This window comes from Homo sapiens, chromosome 22, assembly GCF_000001405.40.
Source record: "Homo sapiens chromosome 22, GRCh38.p14 Primary Assembly".
NCBI lineage: Eukaryota > Metazoa > Chordata > Mammalia > Primates > Hominidae > Homo > Homo sapiens.
This window is the reverse complement of record NC_000022.11, coordinates 35,876,261-35,902,441: the sequence shown is the minus strand read 5'-3', so window position 1 is coordinate 35,902,441 and position 26,181 is coordinate 35,876,261. Positions and strand designations below refer to the sequence as shown.

At 41.4% G+C, this 26,181-nt stretch overlaps 1 protein-coding gene and 1 pseudogene across 41 annotated transcripts in view, besides 1 other annotated feature; both read left to right on the top strand.

Moving 5' to 3' along the window:
- Positions 1-26,181, top strand: part of RBFOX2 (RNA binding fox-1 homolog 2) — a 290,089-nt gene that overhangs the window by 126,383 nt on the left and 137,525 nt on the right. For 7 of the 41 annotated variants that reach the window (XM_047441260.1, XM_047441258.1, XM_024452191.2 and 4 more), the window contains exon 1: positions 7,396-7,629. The exons of the other annotated variants lie outside the window; for them this stretch is intronic. In XM_047441260.1, the coding sequence (XP_047297216.1) occupies positions 7,615-7,629 (15 nt within the window). In that variant the 5' untranslated portion in view covers positions 7,396-7,614. Of the gene's footprint in view, positions 1-7,395; positions 7,630-26,181 lie in introns of those variants that run through there. 41 annotated transcript variants of the gene reach the window in all.
- NDUFA9P1 (NADH:ubiquinone oxidoreductase subunit A9 pseudogene 1) lies at positions 4,025-5,310 on the top strand (annotated as a pseudogene).
- Positions 19,043-19,544: an enhancer, noted in NCBI's record as "H3K27ac hESC enhancer chr22:36278945-36279446 (GRCh37/hg19 assembly coordinates)". NCBI's record gives its function as "activates a minimal SCP1, AML or CMV promoter by ChIP-STARR-seq in primed H9 embryonic stem cells {active_cell/tissue: H9 hESC(primed)}" and the evidence as "EXISTENCE:reporter gene assay evidence [ECO:0000049][PMID:30033119]".

The following is a 26,181-nucleotide window of genomic DNA, read 5'->3' as shown; positions in this document are numbered from 1 at the left end:
TCAGCAACATTCAGCTGATTGGGCATAGGCACTAGAAAAGGCAGACAATTGGATTTAACCAGGATTGGAGTTGTGTCAGGTGGCAGTGATGGAGAGGACAAATGATTGAGGGTATTTGCAAGGGAGAGATTGTAATTATGGAACACGGCATCAAAATTGGACAAAGAGGGTGCAGAACCGGAGTGGGTAGATAATGGAAAAGTGGTTGGGATGGGAGGACTTCATGACGTCAAAAATTGTAGGGAGGGGATACCAGAGAAAGCTAGTTAGAAGTAAGGGAAGTTCTTTGAGAGTATAATTGAAACGTAATAAGGAAAGATGGGTCTTTTAAGATGATGCAGCTTTTCTTCTCTTTTTTTTTTGAGACAGAGTCTCACTCTGTCGCCCAGGCTGGAGTGCAGTGGTGCATTCTCAGCTGACTGCAACCTCTGCCTCTAGGGTTCAAGCGATTCTCCTGCCTCAGCCTCCTGAGTAGCTGAGACTACAGATGCACCACCACACCTGGCTAATTTTTGTATTTTCAGCAGAGATGGGGTTTCACCATGTTGGCCAGGCTGGTCTTGAACTCCTGAACTCAAGTGATCCGCCTGCCTCAGCCTCCCAAATTGCTGGGATTATAGGTGTGAGTCACCGCGCCCAGCCAAGATAATGCAGTCTTCTGTTTTAGGGGTGGTAGCTCTGGGTTTCCTAATAACTGGGAGTAAGAGCTCTAACAAATCACTTAATTGCCTTTCCCAAGAGGCTAGCTTTGAGATGGACCGCTTTCTCCATGTATATATACATCTAGAGCTTAGTTTAGACATCATAGAAGGTAACCACCATTCACAGAAGTTTCTGGGTCTATTCTCTGAATGACATCAGTAGTAGCAGTGTTTTGGCCAGTGCACAAGTACAGTATGTGTACACCAACTCCCAAACCCTATCTCTGTCGTTTGTTGTTGTTTTTTACTTTTTTCTTGAGATGAGAGTTTTACTATGTTGCCCAGGCTGGTCTCAAACTCCTGAGCTCAAGCAAACCCTCCTGCCTCAGCCTCCTGAGAAGCTAGGATTACAGGCTCACATCACCACACCTGGCTTCATTTGTTATTTAAAGTCTTGGTAATGGGCAGAGGTAGAGTGCAGGGTTATTTATATCCAGGGTAAGTTTTTCAGTGATTTTTTTTCCAGTCTTGATTCAGTTTTGTCAGTGAATAGGTATGATTTAGTGGAAATGATCTTGGAGTCTTAAAAACGAACGTTGAACTTTTGGCTCTTTATTCACTAGCTGTGAGACCATGAGTATATTATGTAACCACTTTGGGCCTCAATTTCCTTTGATCTGTGAAAAAGATAACAGGGCCTGTCTTACAGAGATATTGTGAAGATGCAATGAGATAATGCATGCAAAGTTGTGGCACATAATATGCTCTGAGTAAATAGTAGCGGTTGGTGGTGTTACATTGAAACCAGCAAGTGGGAGAGGAATGTTCACTGTTTTGTCTTCCAGGGTGGTTTACATCCCCTAACTGGAAAGTGGCAGCCATATCTACGCCTTCTCCCATGAGTCGCTACTGCTGCATGTGGCCAGTGCCTCTGTCTAGACCAGCTTCTCAGATTTCGGTGTGCCTGAGAGTTACCTGGGGCTTTTGTTATCATATGATTTTGATTTTGTAAGTCTAGGGTGGGGCCTGAGATTCTTCAAATCTAAGGAGTTTCCAGTTGATGCTCATTCTGCTGTTGCTGGTCCATGTGTCACATTTGAGTAGCAGAATTCTGTTAGAGATTGCCCTGTGGGAATCCCTGCTATTTTAAGCTGAGAGGAAGTGAGGGAAAAAGAGCCTCATTCTTTCGACTTTTTTTTTTTTTTTTAAGTCAGCTTCATAGACAATACTCATACATCTCATTTCTCTACCTCAGTGTTGTTTTGGTGAGTCTGTATTGTCTCTACCAGTCCAGGAAGTGATAGGAATATAAACTATGTATAGAGGGTTGCCTCAGATTTCTTCTGAAGAATTTTTAGTGCCTGATTTCTCAGGTACATTTTTGAGAAATTGTGCTGGCTCCCCCGGTATACCTACTTCCCCCCGCTATCCTCTTACAACCACAGAGAAACTCGTATAAAACAAGTAGCCTGCCAGCCTGGCCAACATGGTGAAACCTTGTCTCTACTAAAAATACAAAAATAGCTGGGTGTGGTGGCAGGCGCCTGTAATCCCAGCCACTTGGGAGGTTGAGACAGGAGAATCACTTGAACCCGGGAGGCGGAGGTTGCAGTGAGCCGAGATCATGCCACTGCACTCCAACCTGGGCCACAGAGTGAGACTCCATCTCAAAAACAAACAAAACAAGTAGCCTCTTGAATTATTGGAGTCAGAGGCAGAGCATCTAAAATGTGGCTCCAGACCCTTTCTGCCCACCAGACTCACATTGCAAAATCCAGCATTTTTGAGATGTAGGAATTCAGGAAGCAAGGTTAGAATTATTGGCAATACCCATATTGCTGTCCCAGATTATCTGATTTTTCTTTCTCAGAAGCAAGCATGCCAGAAACTTCTTCTGTGGGCCCTCCTCAGAAGACTTTCTTTAGTGCTCAAATGGACACATTCTCTCCTCTGAACTAACAGATAGGGTGATAAGCTATCAGTCACAAAGTCTGATAACATGCTCTCCTGATAGAATGAAGTATGTGTGCATCTTAATCTCTGTGTATAAGACTGTGATTCTTTTTAGAGTCTCTTTATAGTGTGGAGTTTTTACACCTTTTTGTCTCTTAATGTGAATTGTATATAGCTATAAAGCATAGCTTTCCTTATTTGACTTTGATAATTGGAAATAAATTTTTTTCTTCTCCTACCACTTTGTTCCCCCTTTTTTCTTTCTTTCTTTTTTTTTTTTTGTTTTGTTTTAAAGGTAGAAAAATGTGAACATGCAGGAGCATGAATAAAAAAGATAACTTAGCTTCCCTGTGGGTTTTTGGTTTTTGTATGTTTTCATAAAGGTAACATACAGAAGAGTTTTATTTCTGACCAGACTGACCACCTAATTTTAAAGATTATGATCAGAAAAGAAATAGATGCATTTATAATAGGAATTTACAAGCCCTTCCTGTGGTTCCAAAGAAGTTTATGGTGGTTCCACCCATGGGAGTTTCAGAGGTAGTTTGCAGAGTTTTTGTGACATATTTAAACTTTTCTTTATTTTGAGGGTTTCTTTTCTTGGTATTTTTCTCCTGCTTTGCTGCAGGGTATGTCTTTTATATTTTATTTTATTTTATTTTTTATGTTTGTTATGTTATGTTATGTTATGTTATGTTATGTTATGTTATGTTATGTTATGTTATTTTTGAGACAGAATTTTGCTCTTGTTGCTCAGGCTGGAGTGCAATGGCTAGACCTCGGCTCACCGCAACCTCTGCCTCCTGGGTTCAAGCAATTCTCCTGCCTCAGCCTCCTGAGTAGCTGGGATTACAGGCATGCGCCACCATGCCCAGCTAATTTTTGTATTTTTAGTAGAGACAAGGTTTCTCATGTTGGTCAGGCTGGTCTTGACCTCAGGTGATCTGCCCGCCTCGGCCTCCCAAAGTGCTGGGATGACAGGCATGAGCCACCACGCCCAACCTTTTATCTTTATCCTATCCTAAACTTGATTAAAAGATAACACTATAAAATTACAGTATGAAGATCCAGAATTTCATTGTATTTATTTTATTGATACTTGGTTAAGAATGAATGACTGCCAGTGGTCATGGTGGCTCATGCTTGTAATCCCACACTTTGGGAGGCCCAGGCAGGTGGATCGCTTGAGGTCAGGAGTTCAAGACCAACCTGGGCAACATAGTGAAACCCCGTTTCTACCAAAAATACAAAAAAATTAGCCAGGCGTGGTGGCGTGTGCCTGTGGTCCCAGCTACTCTGGAGGCTGAGGTGAGAGGATCGCTTGAGCCTGGGAGGCAGAGGTTGCGATGAGTCGAGATCACGCCACTGCACTGCAGCCTGGGCTACAGAGTGAGACCCTGTCTCAGAAAAAAAAAAAAAAAAAAAAAAGGATTGTGGGAGAAGATGGCGGCCGCTGCACAATCCCGGGTTGTCTGGGCCCTGCCAATGTCACATTCTGCCATTACTGCAATAGCCACATCCGTGTGTCACAGCCCACTCCATTGCCAGCTTCATCATGCCCTCATACCTCATGGGAAAGGTGAATGTTCCTCAAGTCAGTGGGATTGTGGCCACTGGGTTTGGAGCAACAGGATTCCTGGGCCGATGTGTTGTCAACCACCTTGGACGCGTGGGGTCACAGGTGATCATACCCTATCGGTGTGATACATGTGACATCATGCACCTTCGTCCCATGGGAGACCTGGGCTAGCTTCTGTTTCTGGAATGGGACGCGAGAGATAAAGATTCTATCTGACGAGTAGTGGAACACAGCAATGTGGTCATAAATCTTGTTGGACGAGACTGGGAAACCAAAAACTTTGATTTTGAGGATGTTTTTGTGAAGATTCCCCAAGCAATTGCTCAGGTGTCCAAGGAAGCTGAAGTTGGAAAATTCATTCATGTTGCACATCTGAATGTGAATATTAAAAGCTCTTCTAGATATTTGAGAAAGAAGGCTGTTGGAGAGAAAGCAGTGAGAGACACATTTCCAGAAGCCATTATCGTAAAGCTGTTGGACATCTTTGGAAGAGAGGATAGATTCCTTAATTATTTTGCAAATATGTGTTGGTTTGGTGCTATACCCCTTGTTTCCTTGGGCTGGAAGGCAGTTAAACAACCAGTATACGTCGTAGATGTATCCAAAGGAATTGTTAATGCAGTTAAGGATCCTGATGCCAATGGGAAAACCTTTGCTTTCGTTGGGCCAAATCGATATCTCCTCTTTGACCTGGTGAAGTACATCTTTGCTGTGGCTCACAGCAAAGGGGTACTTCCTCCCGTACCCCTTGCCACCTTTTGCCTATCAGTGGGTAGCAAGAGACTTTGAAATAAGCCCATTTGAGTCCTGGACAACAAGGGATAAAGTGGAGCGTATTCACATCACAGACATGACCTTGTCTCACCTGCCCAGCTTAGAAGACCTTGGTATTCAGGCAACACCACTGGAACTCAAGGCCATTGAGGTGCTGCGGCTTCATCACACTTACTGCTGGCTGTCTGCTGAAATTGAGGATGTGAAGCTGGCCAAGACCGTCAACATTTAGTGCCTCCCGAGCAACTCTTGGTTTTGGTGTCTTTTGGGTCAGCCCGTGTGGTTTGAGCACCCAGCCAGGTGGTCTCTTTAGAGAATCCTGTACACAGTGAATAAGATCCCACCATTAAAACATTTGAGGTTAAAAAGAAAAAAAAAGAATGAGTGTCGAGTAATAAAAGACTCTTCAAAGAATTTGAAAAAATGAATCTCTTATCAGTGTAATTTTAATATAGTTATTTACAGTATGGTATGGGGAGTGTTGGTGACTTAAGATTTAGGGCATGAGCCATGTAACTAGAGAGGAAAGTTGTGTATAAAAACTGATTATGGACATGTAAAAGAGTCTAAGTAACACTTTATGGAAAGTCAAGATTTATTTTTCTTTTTTTCTTTTATTTAGAAAACAGGCTATCTCAGTTTCAGGCTTGGAAGTTCTTTCTCCTCTTTTGTACTAGAAATGTAGTAATCTTGCCTTCAGAAGAAGCAGAGAGGTTCTATGTAGAGAAAAAGAAAAGGTTTGGGTGAGGCCAAGAAGAATACCTGCCCCACCTCTCCAAGTTTAAATGAGCTGGGAGTTTAAGGTGGGAGGAGAGAAAACGTTCGTCTGCGGAAAGCATGCGTTCAGTGTGAAAGAAAAGGAAAAGTGATTCTATTTCTACCCTAAGAGGAAGAAACCCCACTATGGCAGGTAACTAAGCCCAGAGCACGCACAGTGGGAATATTAGGTAGGGAGAGTGAAAGTACCTGCATGGGGCCTACCTTGAATGTGAGACTTGTAGACCTTACTTGGAGATTTTATAAGCAGGAAGGAGCTGTTTCAGCATGTCTGAGGGGGAGCCAAAACCCTGAGGCAGCTGGAAGGTGGTTTTTGTTTGCTTTTTATTTTGTTTTGTGTTTTCTTTAATGAGTGGGAAGGAGTGGAATATTCCTCAAAACCTGTTACCGTTTGAGAATGTTTTGTGCACCTACTGTGTGCTAGGTACTATGCAAAAGACTCCATGGCCAAAAATGGATGAGCCAAGACGAGATGTTAGGTCTCCACTGAGGAAGATGTGCAGAGGAGAAGTGGTTTGCTATAGGAATACTTGGAGAAGTAGCCCACAGAGGTGGTCAATGCCATGTTACAAACACCAGTCCCCACAGAGAAAGGAGAGCTCACTCACAGCTGGGGTTTGCTTTTGGATTTGAACATGGAGAAAGGGGTCGGGGAAGCAAGGAACACGTATGGGCATTGACATTGGCATTAGAATATGGGGGATAATTACGTGATTTTCTGAATAAAAACCATTAGGACAGGTGATTTGATAATACTTGTTCACCACTGGGCATAATGAATGAAAACTCGCCTGGCATATAGGAAGTACTTAATAAATGTTTGAACTGAATTAAAATTAGAAAACATGGTCACCAGGAACATGGCAGACAGTTTACGTAGTTATATCATTACAACACCTCTGAAAGGAGTATTAAACCTATTTTTTGGTAGAGGAAACAGAAGCCTGGACAGGTTGGAAACTTTCCCCAGGCCATAATGATAGTACTTGTAGATCTAGAATTGAAACCCAAGCCGTGCACCTTAGCCCGTCTGCGTGGTGAGTAAAGTGTCTGTACCATGCTACGAGCTCATGATCCACTTGACTCCTTCAGAAGCCAGGCTATGTTGATGTGAACTAGGGCAGTAGTAATAAAAAAGATGAAAAGCCTATTCAGTTTTATATCTTAAGTTTTCCTGTGTTTTGAAATCTTGCAAGATTAAGAATTATTAGTGGTGAAATGACGTAAAGAATAGTGGTGTCAAGCACACATTGTGAGAAAGGAATGTGGGCTCTGAGCAGGTTCTGTGTGTGTGCTTGGCTTCTGCAAGGGGCTCCACAATTGGGGCAGAGGGAAAGCTTGGCTCACTTGCCTTGATCTTAGAGGGCAGAGATTTTTGATTGCTTCATTCATGTTTAAAGAACTCATCTTAAACTAATGTATATCTAGCACTAGAAACTGGTGCTGGTGGTTTATTACTGACCCCACCCATCCCTGTCTTTTGCAATAATCTTTGTGAGTGGTGATTGTGTTTCTAGAAGTAGAATTGCAGAGAGAGATTCCCTGAAGGCAAATACAGAGAGAGTGTGCTGTACACTCTAGTTCAGATACTCAGAGCTGGGAACTCCCAGAGAGAGAGAGAGAAAGAGAGAGAGAGAGAGGGAGGGACGGAGGGAGGGTGAGAGGGAGGAGAGAGAACAACAGAACAGTCAGCTGGAGCGGAGGGGGGAGGAGACCAGTCTTTTCTTTTTTTTTTTTTTAGGATTTTTTAACTCAAGTGATTTTGGGGGGTTTCTCCCCACCTCAAACTCTTGCCCCCCAGTTTTGGCATCTTCTTTCCTGTGGTTCACTGAAGTGCCTTTTTGCAGTCCAGGATCCACTGACCGCTGAGTTTGAGCAGCCCGATCTGACATGATGTACCTCTGGGTGAGTACAGAGTGCTGTGGGTGAGGGTTTGCACTTGCACATATAAGGAGTGGAAAGCTGCGAGGTTCTGCTGTTGCACAAATGGCCTCCCCACAGAGCACAGACTGCCACATCCCCTTCTGTTCCAAGGTGTTAGGTTTTTAAAACCTAGCGGTGATTGTGACATTGTTTTTTTTCCTCCCCCTATGTTGTTTATCTTGTCAGACTTAGGCGCAAGGGCTGAACTCCCTGCGCAGTACCATCCCCTGGGCTTGGTAGGTTTGGAGAAGGCAAGTGGGGCAGGTGAAGTTGTGAGCTGGTTGCTTCAGGAACTGCAGTCTTCCTGGTGGCTCAGGATCGACTTGTGTTTTGTTTTGGGGGTACTGACCTTGTTAAGCCATGTCTTTAGATATTGAGAGCCAATAGGCGGCATGATTATTAATTAGGAATAAGCTTTCATAAGCTTTTATCTAATAATTTTTACTATCCTTCACAATAGTCTTGTGAAATAGGTCACTCACTACTGTTATTAAAATTGTGTGAGGAAAGTAATTAAGCCACAAAGAGTGACTTGCCCGTAGTTAGAAATCAAGTCTATAGCAGTTAGAATAGTAATTAATAATGAGACATTATAAAGCATTTTATATTTGCCAGGAATGTAGTACCTTCTATTACTGTAATTTACCGTCAATAGTAGCATTGTAGTTTGGGATGGAGAGAAACTTTCTGGGACTGGAGAAGTTTGTAAATTATGAAATGTGATAACTTTTAGAGAAATGTCAGGGGAAATAATAGAGAAACTGCTCCCCCAAGCCGCCTGCAATTTTTAGTTGTTAAGACAAGAACATCTTACAGTCCGTTGCAAAGATGGCAGTATGTCTCTTGAGCAAACAGCTGTTGTGTGTTGCTAAGGGAGCCTACTAGATGTGATGCTCTTGGCTACTAACCAGCTTTTTGAAAGTTTCCCTTTGCCCTTTGCCCTTCAGCCCAGATGTCTGGAATTGCAGGAACCTACTTGGCTAACACAGGCTAAATTTATAAATTATCAGAAAGCAAATGTTAACTGCGTTTGCAGAGATGGAGCTTGTTCACAGAAGATGTATATGTATGTGTGTATGTTCGGAGGGGCTGCTTTTCGTGCTTCTCCCTTCATGTTTAAATATGACCTTGAAATATTATTTTCTCTTCTCTATTGATTTTTTTTGTAGTATTTGTAAGAGCTCAGAACTTTTCTGACACACTAATGTGCATTAAGTAGTTTTCGCCTCCCTGTAAACTAGTCATCTGTGCAGGCTCTTTGCAGCCTTGTGGGTGGGATTGATCAGCCCTGTTGACCTGAAGGATGGGCTGTTCTGTCTTTTGATTTGTTTGGAAGAGGAGTTATGAAAGGAAGCAAGTTGAATTAATCTCATTTTCACTCACTTATGTTTGATGAAAGCAGACAGTGACAGTCTCCTTAGTTATTTCCTTTGTGCTTATGTTACAGTTACTTGTGTATTTATCTCAATTTTTTTTTTTACTTATTAACCCTGGAACAGAGCTTCCCTACCAATGCTACATGCCAGATTGAGATAGAAATATGCCAAGATTACTATACCCCACAACCCTTGGAGCAGCCAGCTGGGGCTTGGGAGTCCCCTGGTCACTTTGATCATGTGCACCCTAATTTGTTTACCACTTTGTGCTATAAAAATATTTCCTATGTATGCCATGACACCTGAAGGCTTGGGTAGCACTGCCTAGAGGGCAAAAAGCAGGTCAGCTCTATCTCTTTTATTATTTGTGTCATCTAGCCCAATGCCTTTGTTTACTTCATTGAGGACGTGCAGAAGGAGCTATAGCGAATAATGCCCAGATACATAGAAGGAAGCCTTGGTGGTCACGCATTCAGTGGGAGGCACAGAGGAGCTGCTGTGGACTAGGAATAGGAGATGAGAGTTTTAGTGTAGGTTTAGCCAGTACCAAGCCATGTGACTTTCGGCAGTCATATAACTATTCTGAGACTCAGTTTCCACATGCGTAAGATAATTGAACTGAACCTCTTCTGATTCTGAAATTCCATGAAGTGAATTTTATGTAACAGTAGATATGCCTGAAAAATGCCCAGTTCTGCAAGGATGTTTAGGTCTAGGTGATCAGAGAAAACTGTCAAACATACTGTATCACCTCCCTTGCATGCTTGGTTTGGTACCAGTAATGGGTCAAAGGCACTCTTTCTGAGTATTCTAGAAAAATTACTGGACTATGTTCAGTTGTCAGTACCTCTGAATTGGTGCAGATGGGCATTTTTAGAACCTGTAGAATTGAAGAGTAAAAGTTACAGCTTATCCAAGCATTTTCATTTGTGTAGTTAGATGCAGCTCATTAATTTGCTCCTGTGTGTCTAGAACTCTGAGATAGAATGCTATCTTGTGCGCTCTCTATGCTGCTTTGCCAGATTTTCTCCCCGCTTTCCTGTTGAGTCATCCTCTTTTTTAGTGAATTTGGTAGCGTCAGTTGGCAGCATGAGGTGGTGAAAAGAATACGGGTTTCAGAAACCTCACTAGGTCTAAATCCCACCCCTGCCATTTCCAAGTGTATGACTGTTAAGTTACTTAACCTCTCTGAGCCTCAGTTTCATTTGTCATATAGGGAAAATAGTGGCACTCAGGATTGTTGTGAAGATTTGAGATAATCTATGAATATACTTAACATAGTGAATGGCACACAATAGATGCTCAGTAAATAACTAGTACAAGCCAACTTTTTGCTTTGAACATTTGCATAGGCAGACTACTCACCACTCCGAAGTGTTTTCTGTATCACGTTGAGGGTATCTTTGAATTCATCTAGGGAGAACTTTGATAAACACAAACTAGTTTTTTGTGAAATATTTTTCCTCTTAGTTTGTATGTTAAGTACTCGTGGCTCGGGAGCCCTTGTTAAGGTTGCCTCCTGATGGAGAAAAATCCCCATTATTTGTTGTAAACTTTTTTTTTTTTTTTGCGTTGCACAGTACTATTAAGCATTCATTATGTCATTTATTTTCCCTCTCTCGCCATCATCAAAAACAGGGAAAGAGACAGACAGATATGATTCCTGTACTGAGGCAACTTACTTGTTTGATGATTATGTAATTTATATCCAATAAACATAATTATAGACCACTTACTTAAATTACCAGAAAACAGGATATGTTCTCCCTGTCTGTGCAGTCTTAGCTGGACAGGCACCAGGCCCTCTCTTATTCATGCTCTATATGGATGAACTTCTGGATTTTATTTTGAACTGTTGTTTTTTCATAGTTCAATTCTGTCTTCTTAATAAATCAGTTCAGCCAACATTTAATGAATGCCCATAATGGGTAGAGCCAGCTGTTGCAAATACAAAGATGATTAAAGATTAAAGACATAGTGTGCCCTGGCCGGCCTTAGTGGCTCACGCCTGTAATCCTAGCACTTTGGAAGGCCGAGGATGGCGGATCATGAGGTCAGGAGATCGAGACCATTCTGGCTAACATGGTGAAACACCGTCTCTACTAAAAATACAAACAATTAGCTGGGCATGGTGGCACGCACCTGTAGTCTCAGCTACTCAGGAGGCTGAGGCAGAAGAATTGCTTGAACCCGGGAGGTGGAGGTTGCAGTGAGCCGAGATCACGCCACTGCTTTCCAGCCTGGGCAACAGAGCGAAGACATAGTGTGCCCTTAACAAATTTATAACACCATGGTAGAGAATCTGTATGCACAGGTAATAATGATTTTTGAATGCTATTCGAATCTGTCTACACAGATAATAATGATTTTTATATGCTATTCAATTAACATACATAAGTGAAATCCTTTTATGTGCTATTTCATCCTCACAACATTGCTAAGGACTAAGTATCATTATCCCTATTGTACAGGTGAGGAAAGCAACCATGAGAGAGTATATGACAAGCAGTAAATGGCAGACCTGGAAACGCAATCTCATCTTTTAAAAACTATGGCTCTTATTTCATTTTATGCTAGCTTCTTTTGGGAGAACCTGATTTTTTTTTGTTTCATTTTATTTTATTTTAAACTGTCTATTGAGTGATAACATTTACTCCTCAGTGCACCTGAGTGTTAGCTATTATCTTCATTTTACAGATGAGAAAGCAGATATTTCAGTAACTTGCAAAGTCACACAGTTTGCAATTGTCAGAGTTAGAATTTGAACTGTGGTTTGTCCATCCCTAAAACTTGCTATACCACAATTAGCCTCGTCTTGTATTTGTTCAGTGGTTTCCAGTTTATCAGTATAGTAGTCCCCCTTATCCATGGCTTCACTTTCTGTATCTCTAGTTACCCAAGGTCAATCACACTTCAAAAGTATTATATTTTGAGAGAGATAAAGAAACCACATTCGTGTAACTTTTATTATAGTATATAATTATTCAGTTTTATTATTAGTTATCATTAATCTCTTACTGTGCCTAACTTACAAATTAAACTTAATCGTAGTATATATAGAATTCAGTACTACCCAAAGTTTCAGGCATCTACTTGGGGGTCTTGGAATATATTTCCCACAGATGAGGGACACTACCTGTACTAGCATTCAGCATGGTACAAGGCTAGAGTAGAGAAATGAAAATAAGGAAACCTGAATTCTGTTTTCATCACCCTTCGTTACTTGAGACAATTACTTAACTGTGTATACCTTGATTTTTCAGGTTACGAAAAAGATATATTCTTAGGAACATTCATGGAATAATCTTAGAAAAATGCATATCAGTCATTTTAGAAATGAAGTAGCAAGTAACTGATGGCTTTATCATAAAACTTGAAAGTCACAGACTGTGAGTCAAAAGATACAGTTTCGGGTCTTGGTTGTGCCATTTGTCAGTGTATCATCTTTCTGAGCATGTTTCCTAATCTTTAAAATGGGACCAAGAGATTATAGAGATAATCTGTGAAAGTTTCTGGAAGTTCTTTTGTGTGAGGCAAAAATAAGCTAATAACAACACCTTATTCAGGTTTCACGTTAGTCATTTAGTGCTTTTTATCACTATTTTGCCACTCTAATTGCTCTACACAATTAGAGAACTAGACTTAATAGTAAATTGAATTATCACAAAATGTAGACAATGGCTCAGTTCAGATAACATTTAAGGTCAGATGCCGTGATAGGTACCGTACTTGACAGTGAAAAGCCATTAAAAGATTCTAAGTAGGATTGGGAGTAGGGTGAAGTGAAGTTTATAATTAGATTTTTTAAAAAGATACCTACATAGATTAGAGGAGAGTAAAAGTGCAGAGAGAAGTTAGGTGATTGTTGTGTAAGAGTCTGAGTGACAGGGAAGGTCATGATAGAATGGGCTGGAGGGAAGCGGAACTGTATTGAGAGATTCAGAAGGTAAAATTGACAGGATGTTATAATTTAGAAGAGGACCAGGTTTTTGTAGGAGGGAAGATGAAAGGGATCATGGGTTTGGTTTTGGATTTAGTACTTGGGTAACTTTGAGATGTTCAAGAGGAAATATTGCTTACATGGCCACCTAGGTCTGGAAACAGAAGGAAAGACAGAGGCTTTCCTCTATTGTGAGAAACCTGCATGCCCCGAGCGGGTCTCATAATGGCTTAAAATGATAACGGTCTAGGGAGGAATGTAGAGCAAGAAGAGAAGTTAATGCCTGGAGAAGAATGAATTTTCTTTTCTTTTCTTTTCCTTTTTGAGATGGAGTCTTGCTTTGTCACCCACCCTGGAGCACAGTGGCATGATCTTGGCTCACTGCACCCTTCGCCTCCTGCATTCAAGCGATTCTCCTGCCTCAAGCCTCCCAGGTAGCTGGGATTACAGGCACCCACACCACGCCGAGCTAATTTTTGTATTTTTAATAGATATGGAGTTTCACCATGTTGGCCAGGCTGGTCTTGAACTCCTGACCTGAAGAGATCTGCCCACCTTGGCCTCCCAGAGTGCTGGGATTACAGGACTTAGTCAGTGTGCCCGGCCAAGATTTTCAAAGGAAGCAGGGAACTAGGTTTTAAAGACCTTATTCTTAAGGAGGAAAACCAGGACATTAGGAAATCAAGATAAGAGATTGTGGCAAGACACTGAAAACTGTCCTTGGATTTAGCAATATGGAAGTCATTGGTGACTTTAGCAAGGGTTATTTTGGTGGAATGATGAGGGCAGAAGCCTGAGTTTAGCAATATGGAGGTCATTGCTGACTTCAACCCCTCTTCCCTTTCTGCCATGAGTGGAAGGAAGCAGCCAGAGACCCTCACCAGATGCAGGTGCCAGTGCCACACTTCTTGCACAACCTGCAGAACTGTGAGCCAAATAAACCTCTTTTCTTTATCAATTACACAGCCTCAGGTATTCCTTTATAGCAACATTAAATGGACTAAGACAATAGCCTAGAGCAATGGGCTGTATTGTATAGCCTAGGTATGTAGTAGACTAGACCATCTAGGTTGGTGTAAGCACACGGAACCTTGATGTTCTCACACAATCAGATTGCTCAGTGATGCATTTCTCAGAACACATTCCTGTTGTTAAGTGATACATGACTACTATATTGCAGATTTGAGGAGTGAAGCAAGGTATAAAATAGTAATCTCAAAAAAATGGGGAGTAAATTTACTACAGAGATGAAGTAGGCCTAAGATTTGTGATCATAAATTTGATGTATGTGGTGGCGAGTCAGTTGTGTGAGTTTTATCCAGCAATCTTCTGTTATTTAAATGCAGGAGAGGAATAAGTACATAGTTGGAGCTGCCAAATGAGTTAGACTAAGGGAAAAGAGGACAAGGAAATTAAGATTTTTTGGAGAGGACTCTGTGTAGTATGAGGCCATAGGATCTAAACTGGCTTAGGAGGGAGGTAGAACATAAGAAGGAGTAATAGTGAAAAAGTGGTACATCAGCCTGTAAACTATAGATCTTAAGGAGGCTGGAGAATTGCCACAGGGGTCAAACTACTATTGTAAGCAAACGCTTGATGGTGTGATAATAGAATACTTGAAATTTTTGTAGGTAATGATTGTATTAGAATATGATGCTAGGTGAATGGCTTTAGGTGAGGTGGTGGAAAAATACAGTTGGTGCTAAAGACTTCAAAAAGAAGGCCAAAATGTTGAATCTATGTGGCTGTTGAAGTTATCAGAGTGATAAGACTAACAATGGAGATGAAATCAGGGAGCCCTATTTAGCAGGGGACAGGTGCAGTTTGCCTGGAGGGAAGAGAAGTGGTTTGGAAGCAGTATTGGGAAGGAAGGAAGAGGATATCTGGAAGGTCCAACACTATATGGTAATGGGGAGTAAGGCCGATGCTTGCCCCTGCTGAGGTATGTGATGAGTAAGAAAAAAGTGTTTACTGTAGAAGCAACAGTAATCTCAGGGGCAGTCTGGTTTCCTTAAGATCAAAAGAGTAAAGAGAATATCACAGAAGAGAGGTGAGTGTGTAGAGGAGTTTGCTGAGAATAGCCCATGACCTCCAGGGCGTGGGAGGGCAAGGAAGTGCAGGAGATGGGATCAGAAAAGGCATAGAGAACAGTTACCATTGTAGTTGTTCAGGTATGAGGTAAAAGGGCCTTGAGGTCAGGGTTTGACAATGAGAATAAAGATTTTAAGTAGATAGGAAAGGCTTACGCATGAATGCTAAAATATGGCAAGCTTCAGTTATTTAGGAAAGCCGCCTTTACTATTTGTTTTAATATGACATTTAATGTTAAACAACTATCTCTTTCTGGTCATGTTTCAAATCAGAATATGGAATTTTGTTGTTGTAAAATATATAAATTAAGGACTAAATTTGGAACCAAGTAAGTAAATACTTAGTAGATTTTAAATTGTTCGTTTGGAGGAGCAGAAAATCAGCGTGGTCAAAGCACACATATTGACAAGACGGAGAGGGAGGGTGGAGGATTAAACACCCAAGATATATTTCCTCTGGTCCTTTTCCCAACAACGACAAAAATATATTTTAGGAGTTGTAGTCTTACTTCACTAACTCCCCTTTCTCCTTCTTGGTTCTGGAAAACTGTACAGTCGTGTACCACATAAAGACGTTTCAGGTAGCTATGAACTGCATCATTCATCAGTGCAGTTCAATGCATCAGTCAATGCAGTTGAAGGCATCAGTCAATGCAGTTCAATCTTACGGTGGTTTCATAAGAGTGTATAAATAACAATTGTATCTTTACTGTCCCTTCTCTGTGTTTAGGTACATAAATACCATTGTGTTACGATTACCCACAGTAGAGTATTCAGTAGTCACCTGCTGTACATGTTTGTAGCCTAAGAGCAATAGGTCGTACATACCGTATAGCCGAGGTGTGTAGTAGGCTAGGCCATCTGAGTTTATGTAAGTACACTCTATGATGATCTCACAACTATGAAATCACCTAACAACACATTTCACAGGATGTGTGCCTGGCATTAAGCAGCACATGACTATATTGCTTTTAAAAGTTGTAATCCAGTTGAAAGCATTACATTCCTGTTTAGAATTAATAGGTTTTTCTGAATGTGAGAACTTGGTGCTCCTCTTCACACATTTTTTTTTAGCATCTTTCACTATTATTAAATAAGAGAACATATGTTACTTGTAATTGAAGGCCAGCATAGAATAGACATTCCACAGATATTGGTTGAAAAGTTAATTGGATATTCTAGGTATAATGAACTGTCTGGGTAGCAAAGTGTTCAACTAAAATATTGTGTTTGGGCCGGGCGCGGTGGCTCACGCCTGTAATCCCAGCACTTTGGGAGGCTGAGGTGGGCGGATCACGAGGTCAGGAGATCGAGACCATCCTGGCTAACATGGTGAAACCCCGTCTCTACTAAAAATACAAAAAATTAGCCGGATGTGGTGGTGGGTGCCTGTAGTTCCAGCTACTCAGGAGGCTGAGGCAGGAGAATGGCGTGGACCCGGGAGGTGGAGGTTGCAGTGAGCCCAGATCGTGCCACTGCACTCCAGCCTGGGCAACAGAGTGAGACTCTGTCTCAAAAAAAAAAAAAAAAAAAAAAAAAAAAAAATTAGGTTTGGGTTTCACTTAACCCAAATCTATAGGCTCTGTACTGTCTTCATTGTGTATTAACTTGTACGGTGTTTTACTTGCTTATTTAAATATAGACCATCTATTCAGAGGTTAAATAAATCAAGAGGGAGGTAAGAGTCAGAAGCTTATGTTGTTTATGCGGGGAAACGACCTAGCTTTCATTCCCTAAAATAACTGTCAAATTATTTTTCCTGAGTGTGTGAGATGAACTTTAATCACTGGCAAGATTCTTGTATCCATGAAAATCAGAAAACTGACTATGGTTTCATTGTGTTTCTCATCATACGCTAGTTACATTTCTGTCCCTGGCCTAGTCATTAGCCTGCCATATGATTAGACAGATGATCTTTATGCTCTTGTGTCTCATCTGTAAAATGGGCATGATTTTTCCCAGTAGAATTGTTAAGTATTATTTCTTAGATAAATTGACATTCACATAAAATATTCTTAATGATTTATTTATTCTGCTTCTTGTACAGTACTTGAAATTGCCAGTTAGGTAAAAAACATCATGGTTTTTTTGGCAAGGTGGGACTGAAGGTCTCACTAAACAGTACAGTAGATGCCAAAGGCTGGGCAGGGGTAGGTGGTCAGAGCACGTGTTGGGAAGATCAGTTGTTGCTGTGTCTGTGTTCTCCTCTGCTATATTTAAGTAATTTTAGATATTTATTTTTATTTTTGTGTTTAATTTTATTAAATTAAGGTTATTAAAAATAAGTTTCTTGGATTCATTGAAAATCAAAACCATTTTTGCATGTTGCTCAACAAGTTGCTCTAATATTGGATGTTTGCAGATAATATTCAAACTGGAGAAATTTTCGATTGTTAAAGGCAGTTGGGATTGGAAGAGATAAGAAAACAAATTCCCAAGTGCCTCCTATGATAGGAGGCACTGGGTCTGATGCTTTCATTACTATTATCTTGTTTCATCTTACAACGGGGAAGGAAGATTCAAATGCGCAGTCTTGCTTCAGAGTCAGTACTCTTAACCAATATGTTGTAATACATTCAGCTAGTCTGTGATAGGCAGCATCTAAGATGGTCCCTAGTGATCCCCACCTCCTGATATTCATACCCTTGTGTATTATCTTCCCCTTATAGGCTGGACCTAGTGACTCACTTTGAATGCATAGAATATGGAAAATTGATGAGATGTCACTTCTAAGATTTGGTTACAAAGAGACTGTGGCTTTTATCTTGGGTGCTTGCCCTCTCTACCTTTCTCTCAGAGCCCCTACACTGTTAAGTAGCCTTGTGGGAAGGCCCAAGAGCCAGTGATGTCTAGGCCTAACAGCTAGTGACCTGCCAGCAGCCAGGTGAGTGAGTTTGGTGGTGGATCCTTGATAGTCAAGCTTTAATGATTGCAGCCCCAGCCAACACCTTGACTGCAGCCTTGTGAGAGTCCCTGAACCAGAAGCACTTAGCTTACCCAGCTGGATTTCTGATCCACATAAACTGAGATAATAAATGCTGTTTTAAGCTACTGTGATTGAAAATGAATTGTTACATAGAAATAGATAACTAGGCCGGGTGTGGTGGCTCACATCTGTAATCCCAGCACATTGTGAGGCCGAGGCAGGCGGATCGCTTGAGCCCAGGAGTTTGAGACCAGCCTGGGCAACATAGCAAAACCCCATCTCTACTAAAAATACAAAAATTAGCTGGGCAAGGTGGTGCGTGCCTGTAGTCCAGCTACTTGGGAGGCTGAGGTGGGAGGATCACCTGAGCCTGGGAGGTGTAAGCTGCAATGAGCTGAGAGCAAGAACTTGAGCAAGAGAGCGAGACCCTGTATCACAAAAAAAAAAAAAAAAAAAAAAAAAGAGATAACTACAGATTTTGGTACCAATAGTGGGGTGCTTTTTGGTGAAAATCTAAACTGGGAGTGACTTTGAAACTGGGCAGTGGACTTTTAAGGAGAGTGTTAGTATAAGATTAGAATACCTTGAACACATTATAAAAATGGGACTTTGAGGCGATTGTCACGAGGTCTTAAAGGAAAGAAACTGGAAGAAAGGGGATCCTTGTTATGTAGTGGTAGAAAGTTTAGCAACACTATCATTTATAGTTGTGGAAAGCAGAAAGTGTGTTTCATGAACTGAGAGATCTAGCTAAGTAAACTTCTAAACAAAACATTGCAGATCCCCTCTGGTTCCTTCTTGCTGCTTAAAGTATGAGGGGAAATAAATAAATTGAGGGAAGCACTGTTAAAAAAGGAGCCAGAACTTGATGATTTTGAAAATTCTCAGCCTTTCTGGTTGGCAGAGGGTGATGAAATTGAGACACGGCAAAGATCAATTCAAGAGCCACTCCGGGGAGAATGGCGGTCTAAAGATAAAGCCAAGACTGTGCCTTTAAAGCCTGCTGTTAAGACCTGAGAAGGTAGTGCCTTAGCATCCTCTTCAGTCACACTCAAGGCCTCTCCGTCAAACAATAGGGCTTCTAGCCTTTTTAGCAGGAGCCCAAGGTAGAGGTAGAAGAGTTCCTCTTGGAGAGATCTATGGGTATAGCTTTTGTCTATTGTGGTGAGATATGCAGGAAATCCACTGTAGCTAGGACTGAACAGGAAAAGAAACAGTACAAAATGAAAAGAGGCTGTCGGACACCCCTAGCATTCTGCTGGCAGGAAGCAGGCTGAGAAAGTGCTCAGGAGCTAACACATGCCACCTTTCATCAAAAGGGAAAGATGACTCAGAGGTTGGAAGCAGGAGCCTAGAGATGAAGGCAAAAGTCATGGAGAATTCTTTTCCCAGTGTTGAGACCTAATCAAGGAACTTTCAGTGTTTGCCCTGCTAGATTTCAGAGTCAGTATGGATCAGTGACTCTTTTGTGCCCCCCAATTTCCTGCCTTTCTTTTGTAGAAAAAGTTATGCCATTTAGTGATTGCAAGGATTTTAGAGAACAGAAACCCAGAGGGCAAGTGAGAAAGCAGCCCTAATACTCTGCCATCTAGGCTCCCAGAATGCCATGCTGTTGTTAAATTGCTTCTTTTGGCTTTTGCTTACAAGTCATAAGTACCAGATGATATGTGCAAAACTGAAGCAATCAGGAGAGGATTTCCCACCCCCGTATTTACCCACTTTCTCTCATCAGTATGAATAAACTGTCCCCTCACTCATGAAGCATTTGCATTCCTATATAAGGTGAACCTTCCAGTTGTATACTAGGTCCTATCTCTGCTAGTCTGTTTAGGACATGGATCCAGCAATTCTCTTCCCTCTCTCTGGGATCATCAAGTTTTCTGTCTTTATTGGATTAGTCCCGTCAGCATACAGTTAAGCTGTTCTTCCACTTATTTAAAAATAATACTCTTGACCTCACTTTGCCAGCAACTGCTGAATTTCTTTTCCTTTAAAGCAAAACTCAGTAGCGTTGTTTATATTTGATTATATCTGATTATATCAGTTCTCCTCTTAAACCCACGCAGCCAGGTTTTTATTGCAACCACACCACTGAAAGGGCTCTAGTCCAAGTTGCCAGTAACTTGCATGCTGCTAAATCTAGTGGTCTGGTCTCAGCCCTCATCTTACTTGACCTATCTGTAGAATATTCTATCACTGATCACTTCGTTCTCTAATTCACTTTCTTGGATACTTGACTTGCAGGACATCATACTTTCCTGATTTTCTTCCCACCTCTTTGGAAGTTTGTACTCAGTTTTAAAGTTGTAATATTTTGAGCCAAGTCCTTTCACCTCTTTTTTTGATTCTCTTTCATCCACTCTCATGGCTTTAGTTCTCAGCTAACCAGGAAAGTTTTACCAGCCGGGTAAAATGTTTTTTTCCTTTAACATATATTAAGTTTTCTTTTCTTTTCATTTCTTTTTTTTTTCTTTTTTCTTTTCTTTCTTTTCTTTTTTTCTTTTGAGACAGGGTCTCACTCTGTTGTCCAGGCTGGAGTGCAGTGGCGTGATCTTGGCTCACTGCAACCTCTGCCTCCCGGGTTCAAGCATTTCTCCTGCCTCAGCCTCCCAAGTAGCTGGGACTACAGGTCCATGCCACTACACCCGGCTAATTTTTATATTTTTATTAGAGACAGGGTTTCACCATATTGGCCAGGCAGGTCTCGAACTCCTGACCTCATGATCCACCCGCCTCGGCCTCCCAAAGTGCTGGGATTATAGGTGTGAGCCACTGTGCCCGGCCCTAAGTTTTCTTATAATTAAGAAATAAGAATAAAGGGATAGTGAAAAAACAACTGCATTAGACATTAAAAAAAAATTTCTTCCTTTTTTTTTTTTTGGAGACAGAGTCTCATTCTGTTGCCCAGGCTGGAGTGCAGTGGTGCGATCACAGCTCAGTGCAGTCTCAATCTCCTGGATTCAAGCTATCCTCCTTCCTTAGCCCCTCGAGTAGCTGGGTGGGACTACAGATGTGTGCCACCATTTTTGTATTTTTATTTATTTTTTTGTAGAGACAAGTCTGTGGCTGTGTTGCCACAGGCTGGTCTTGAATGCATGATCTCAAGTGATCTTCCCACCTCAGCCTCCCAAAGTGCTGAGATTATAGGCGTGAGCCACCATGCCTGACCAAAGGTTCTTCCCCCTCCTCCCTGCCACCCGAGACGGAGTCTCACTCTGTTGCCAAGCTGGAGTGCAGTGGCGCGATCGTCGGCTCACTGCAAGCTCCGCCTCCCAGGTTCACGCCATTCTCCTGCCTCAGCCTCCAGAGTGGCTGGACTACAGGCGCCCGCCACCACGCCCAGCTAATATTTTTGTATTTTTAGTAGAGACGGGGTTTCACCATGTTAGCCAGGATGGTCTCCATCTCCTGACCTCGTGATCCGCCCACCTCAGCCTCCCAAAGTGCTGGGATTACAGGCGTGAGCCACCATGCCCAGCTGTCAAAGTTTCATGCAACTAATTAGATATTACCCCTACAGTAACCATCAATCACATTTGAATGCTGTCTATATCTTTTAATCCCTTTTATAATACCTCATGGTTTTTGTCCTTTTTGCCTATCCCTCCTTTCTTCCTTCCCTCCCTCCCTCCCTTCCTTCCATGGCTGGGAATAGTTAAAAAGTAAAAGTTGCTGAAAAGTCAGAATGTTTCAAGATGTAGGAAAAATAAAGATCTTCTAAAATTTCACAGTGAATCTTAGGTTTATAAAAGGGTCCAAGGAATACATGTATTATTACAAGATAAAATAGTTTATTTTTAAAGTAACAATTTCGTTTTTCTGTTTTCTTTTTGGAATACCTCTAAGAAAGAAAAATCATAAAGTATAAATTCTTACAGGTAGAACTGAACTGCTTGAAAAGAAAAGTTGGGCCCAGTGGACTCTGATGATACACTGGGTGTTAAATTCTGTCTGTATGTTCTTGGCTCTCAAATGTATACCTCTAGCTAGAACTCTCTCTAGAAGCTCATATCTAACTGCCTACTTGACATTTCCATCTGTAATATAATAGTTACCTCAAACTTGACATGTCCAAAGCTGAGCTCCTGGCCTTTACTTGCCTTCCTCTGCCCTCAGACTTGCTAAACCCACAGTTTTCTTCTTCTCAGATAATGACATCTTTCTGTTACTTGAGCTAAAAAAAACCTTAGTCATCCTGGACTCCTCTTTCTCCCTCACTGCGGTCCTGTTAATTAGCAAATCCTTTAGGTTCTGCCTTTCAAAAATAACCTAAATTCAATCCATACTAGCTCTTCTTCCTTTTTTTTTTTTCCTCAGTCTCGCTCTGTCGCCCAGGCTGCAGTGCCGTGGCATGATCTGGCTCACTGCAACCTCCGCCTCTCAGGTTCAAGCGATTCTTGTGAGTCGGCTACCTGAGTAGCTGGGATTACAGGTATGCGCCACCATGCCTAGCTAATTTTTGTATTTTTAGTAGAGACAGGGTTTCGCCATGTTGGCCATGCTGGTCTCGAATTCCTGGCCTCAAGTGATCCACCGACCTTGGCCTCTCAAAGTGCTGGGATTATAGGCGTGAGCTGCCGTGCCCATCCTACTAGCTCTGCCACTTCTATCCTGGTTCGGTATTCCATCTTCTCTTGCCCAGGTTTTTGTAATAGTCTGCTACCTGGTCTCGCTATCTCCACTATTGACACTGAAGAATTTATTCTAATCACAACATCTGACATAATCCTTTGAAAATATAAATCTGATCATGCACAAAATCCACTGATGTGTTTCGCTCAGAAGAAAAGCTAGAGTCCCCACAAGGCTCCAGTCAAGCCTGCTCCTAGGTACTTGTTTGACTTTCATCTCCTCCTGTTCTCATTTCTCACAGCTACTTAGGCCTTTTGGCCATTCCTCAAATTTGCCAGGCACTTTGTACAGCTGTTCCATGGTATTCATGAGGGGGTTGGTTCCAGAGCCTCTTAAAGATACCCAAATCCGCAGATGCTCAAGTCCCTGATATAAAATAGTGTGGCATTTGCATATAACCTACACATATTCTTCTGTATACTTTAAATAATCTCTGGAGTGTTTATAGTACCTAATGAAGTGTAAATTTTATGTAAATAGCTGTTATATTGTTTCTGGAACACGATTTACGGTGACAAGGAAAAAAAGACTGTACATATCCAGTACGAATTATTTCTCCTGCCCCAAATATTTCCCATTCATGGTTGGTTGAATCCAGGGATGCAGAACCCACAAATATGGAGGGCTTACTGTACTTGTTTCTTCTGCCTGTAATGCTTCTCTCCAGATATACTCATGTCTTCCTCCTGGCCTTCAAATTTTTGCTCAAATGTTTCCTATTCAATAAGGCCTTTTGAAAGCCATTTTACTTTAAATTTTTCATAGCATTTATCTTCTAAATATTATAAAAACAGGCCATACGGCCAGGCACAGTGGCTCATGCCTGTAATCCCAGCACTTTGGGAGGCCAAGGCGGGTGGATCACGAGGTCAGGAGATTGAGACCATCCTGGCTAACATGGTGAAACCCCATCTCTACTAAAAATACAAAAAATTAGCCGGGTGTGGTGGCGGGCGCCTGTAGTCCCAGCCACTCTGGAGGCTGAGGCAGGAGAATGATGTGAACCTGGGAGGCGGAGCTTGCAGTGAGCTGAGATCGTGCCTCTGCACTCCAGCCTGGGTGACAATATAAATAAAAAATAAAAAAACAGGCCATGCATGGTGGTTTATCCCTATAATCCCAAGACTTTGGGAGGCCAAGGTGGGAGGAACTCCTTGAGGCCAGGAGTTCAAGACCAGCATGGGCAACATAGTGGTACCCTATCTCTACAAAAGCAAGTTTAAAAATTAGCCAGGGTTGGTGGGACACACCTGTAGTCCTAGCTGCTTGGGAGATGGCATGCACCTGTAGTCCTGGCTACTTGGAGGTTGAGACAAGAGGATTGCTTGAGCCCAGGAGGTCAAAGCTGCAGTGAGCTCTAATTGTGCAGACTGCACTCCATCCTGGGTGACAGAGCGAGACCCTGTATCTTTATTTTATTTTATTATTTATTTAGATGGAGTTTCACTCTTGTCACCCAGGCTGGAGTGCAATGACATGATCTCGGCTCACTGCAGCTATCGCCTCCTGGGTTCAAGTGATTCTCCAGCCTCAGCCTCCTGAGTAGCTGGGTTTAAAGGTCCATACCACCATGCTCGGCTAATTTTTTGTATTTTTAGTAGAGACAGGGTTTCACCGTGTTCGCCAGGCTGGTCTTGAACTCTTGACCTTAGGGGATCCACCAACCTCGGCCTCCCACAGTGCTGGGATTAGAGGAGTGAGCCACTGCGCCTGGCTTGAGACCCTGTATCTTTAAAAACAAAACAAACTCCGTGTGTGTGTGTGTGTGTGTGTGTGTGTGTGTGTGTGTGTAGTAGTAGTAGTAGTAGTATGTATATGTATGTAAAATAAAAACTTTTTTTCCCACCTGTCTCCTCTTTTAGAGTTTTTTGTCTGGTGTATTCGCTGCTATTATCTTCAGTGTCTAGAATAATGAATGGTGTTCAATAAATATTTGTCAAATTCTAGAGGTTTTTTTACCTGTGATTTTTTTCAGTAACGGAATACTTAGTAACTATAGAATTTATAGTGGTAGAACTCTAGCTGACATCAGCTATTCTCTCTCACATCGCAGGGACCAGTGCTTTGTACTATTGAGGCAGTAGTGCTTTAATGGCACAAGCTTTGGAACCAAATTAACTGGGTCCAAATCTGGTTCTGATGCATTCTGTCTGAATGACATTGGATAAGTTACCATGCTTTCTCATCTGTAAAATGAGAATAACATAATATCTATCACAGAGGGTTGTTTTGAGCCATGTAACGCTCTCAGAACAGTTCTTGGTGCATAGTAAATGTTCAGTATATGTTAGTTATGATTGTTACCGTTTCAGACCCATCCCAGCAGTTCTGAGTCTGTTGTACTCCTGAGTGGCAATACTGAGAACTGATTCAGGGTCTCCTCCTTATCACCAAGTCTCTTTCTCCTTTAAAAATATCATGGGTATGTTAGGTCTGCCTTTCTACCCTTCACCTCCAGTTCTCTCTTCTACTGTTTAATCTTTACTTACACTAATAGCATTCTTTTATATATCCACATTTTCCCCTCTTTTTTTTCTCTTCCTTTCTCCCTTCCTGTCCTTTTAGCAAGTACTTATTAAGCATTACTTTTTGCTTCCCTATTCTGTTCTAAATCTTGCTGTTTCTTTTTCCTTATCTTCATGTCTTTGTTTCATTATCAAATAAAAAATTACCTAATTTATGGTTGATTGACTAGAATTACATTTGTATCAGGGAAAATGGGAATGCAGTAGGTGTTGAAATAAAATTGAAATTATTTTTTAAAAAGTTGCACCAGTGACTAAAACCCTTGAAAGTACTCCTACTCCTTCCTCTAAATCTACAGAAGTCTCTACTTTCTTAGTCAGTGATTAAATTTGTCTTCTACCAACCAACGTGCAAGGTGATCTGGGGGAAAAGTATCTCTTATTTAATTACATTGGCATTATTTGTAATTTTCTGCTATTTTAGCTATCTTGTTTTTTGTTTATTTTTATTTCAGATGGATAGTAGTTCAGGTACATTACTGGTACAGTGTGCTCAAACGTTTTCCCCATGATTACTAGGTTCTTGTGATATCTGGTCTAGAAACACAGCCATCATTTATAAATCTGTGTGTGTGTGTGTGTGTGTGTGTGTGTGTGTGTGTGTTTCTTTTAATGGGAGAATGTGATCAGAGTTCTAAAAAACTGAAATAAAAATGCATTTTTAGAATATGACTTATTTTGTAAATTTTAGATAGATTATAGAATGACTACAATACCCTTTTTCAGAGCAGAGGAAGTGAACCCATTTAGGCATCCGTTTAAAGGAGTTTTGTTTTGAGGCTTTAAGGGTCTTTCATCTGTAAGATGAGCTGTGGTACTGCCTATTATATATTAATAAACGTTACAAGGAAAACAGTACTCTTTTTGCTCCCTTTTCTCGGTATAGTCTTTTTTTCCGAGCACATTTCAGAAATAAAGACCACTAAAATGCTACTTAATGTAATCTCAGTTACTTGGGAGGCTGAGGCAGGAGAATACCTTGATCCTGGGAGGTGGAGGTTGCAGAGAGCCGAGATCGTGCTACTGCACTCTAGCCTGGGTGACA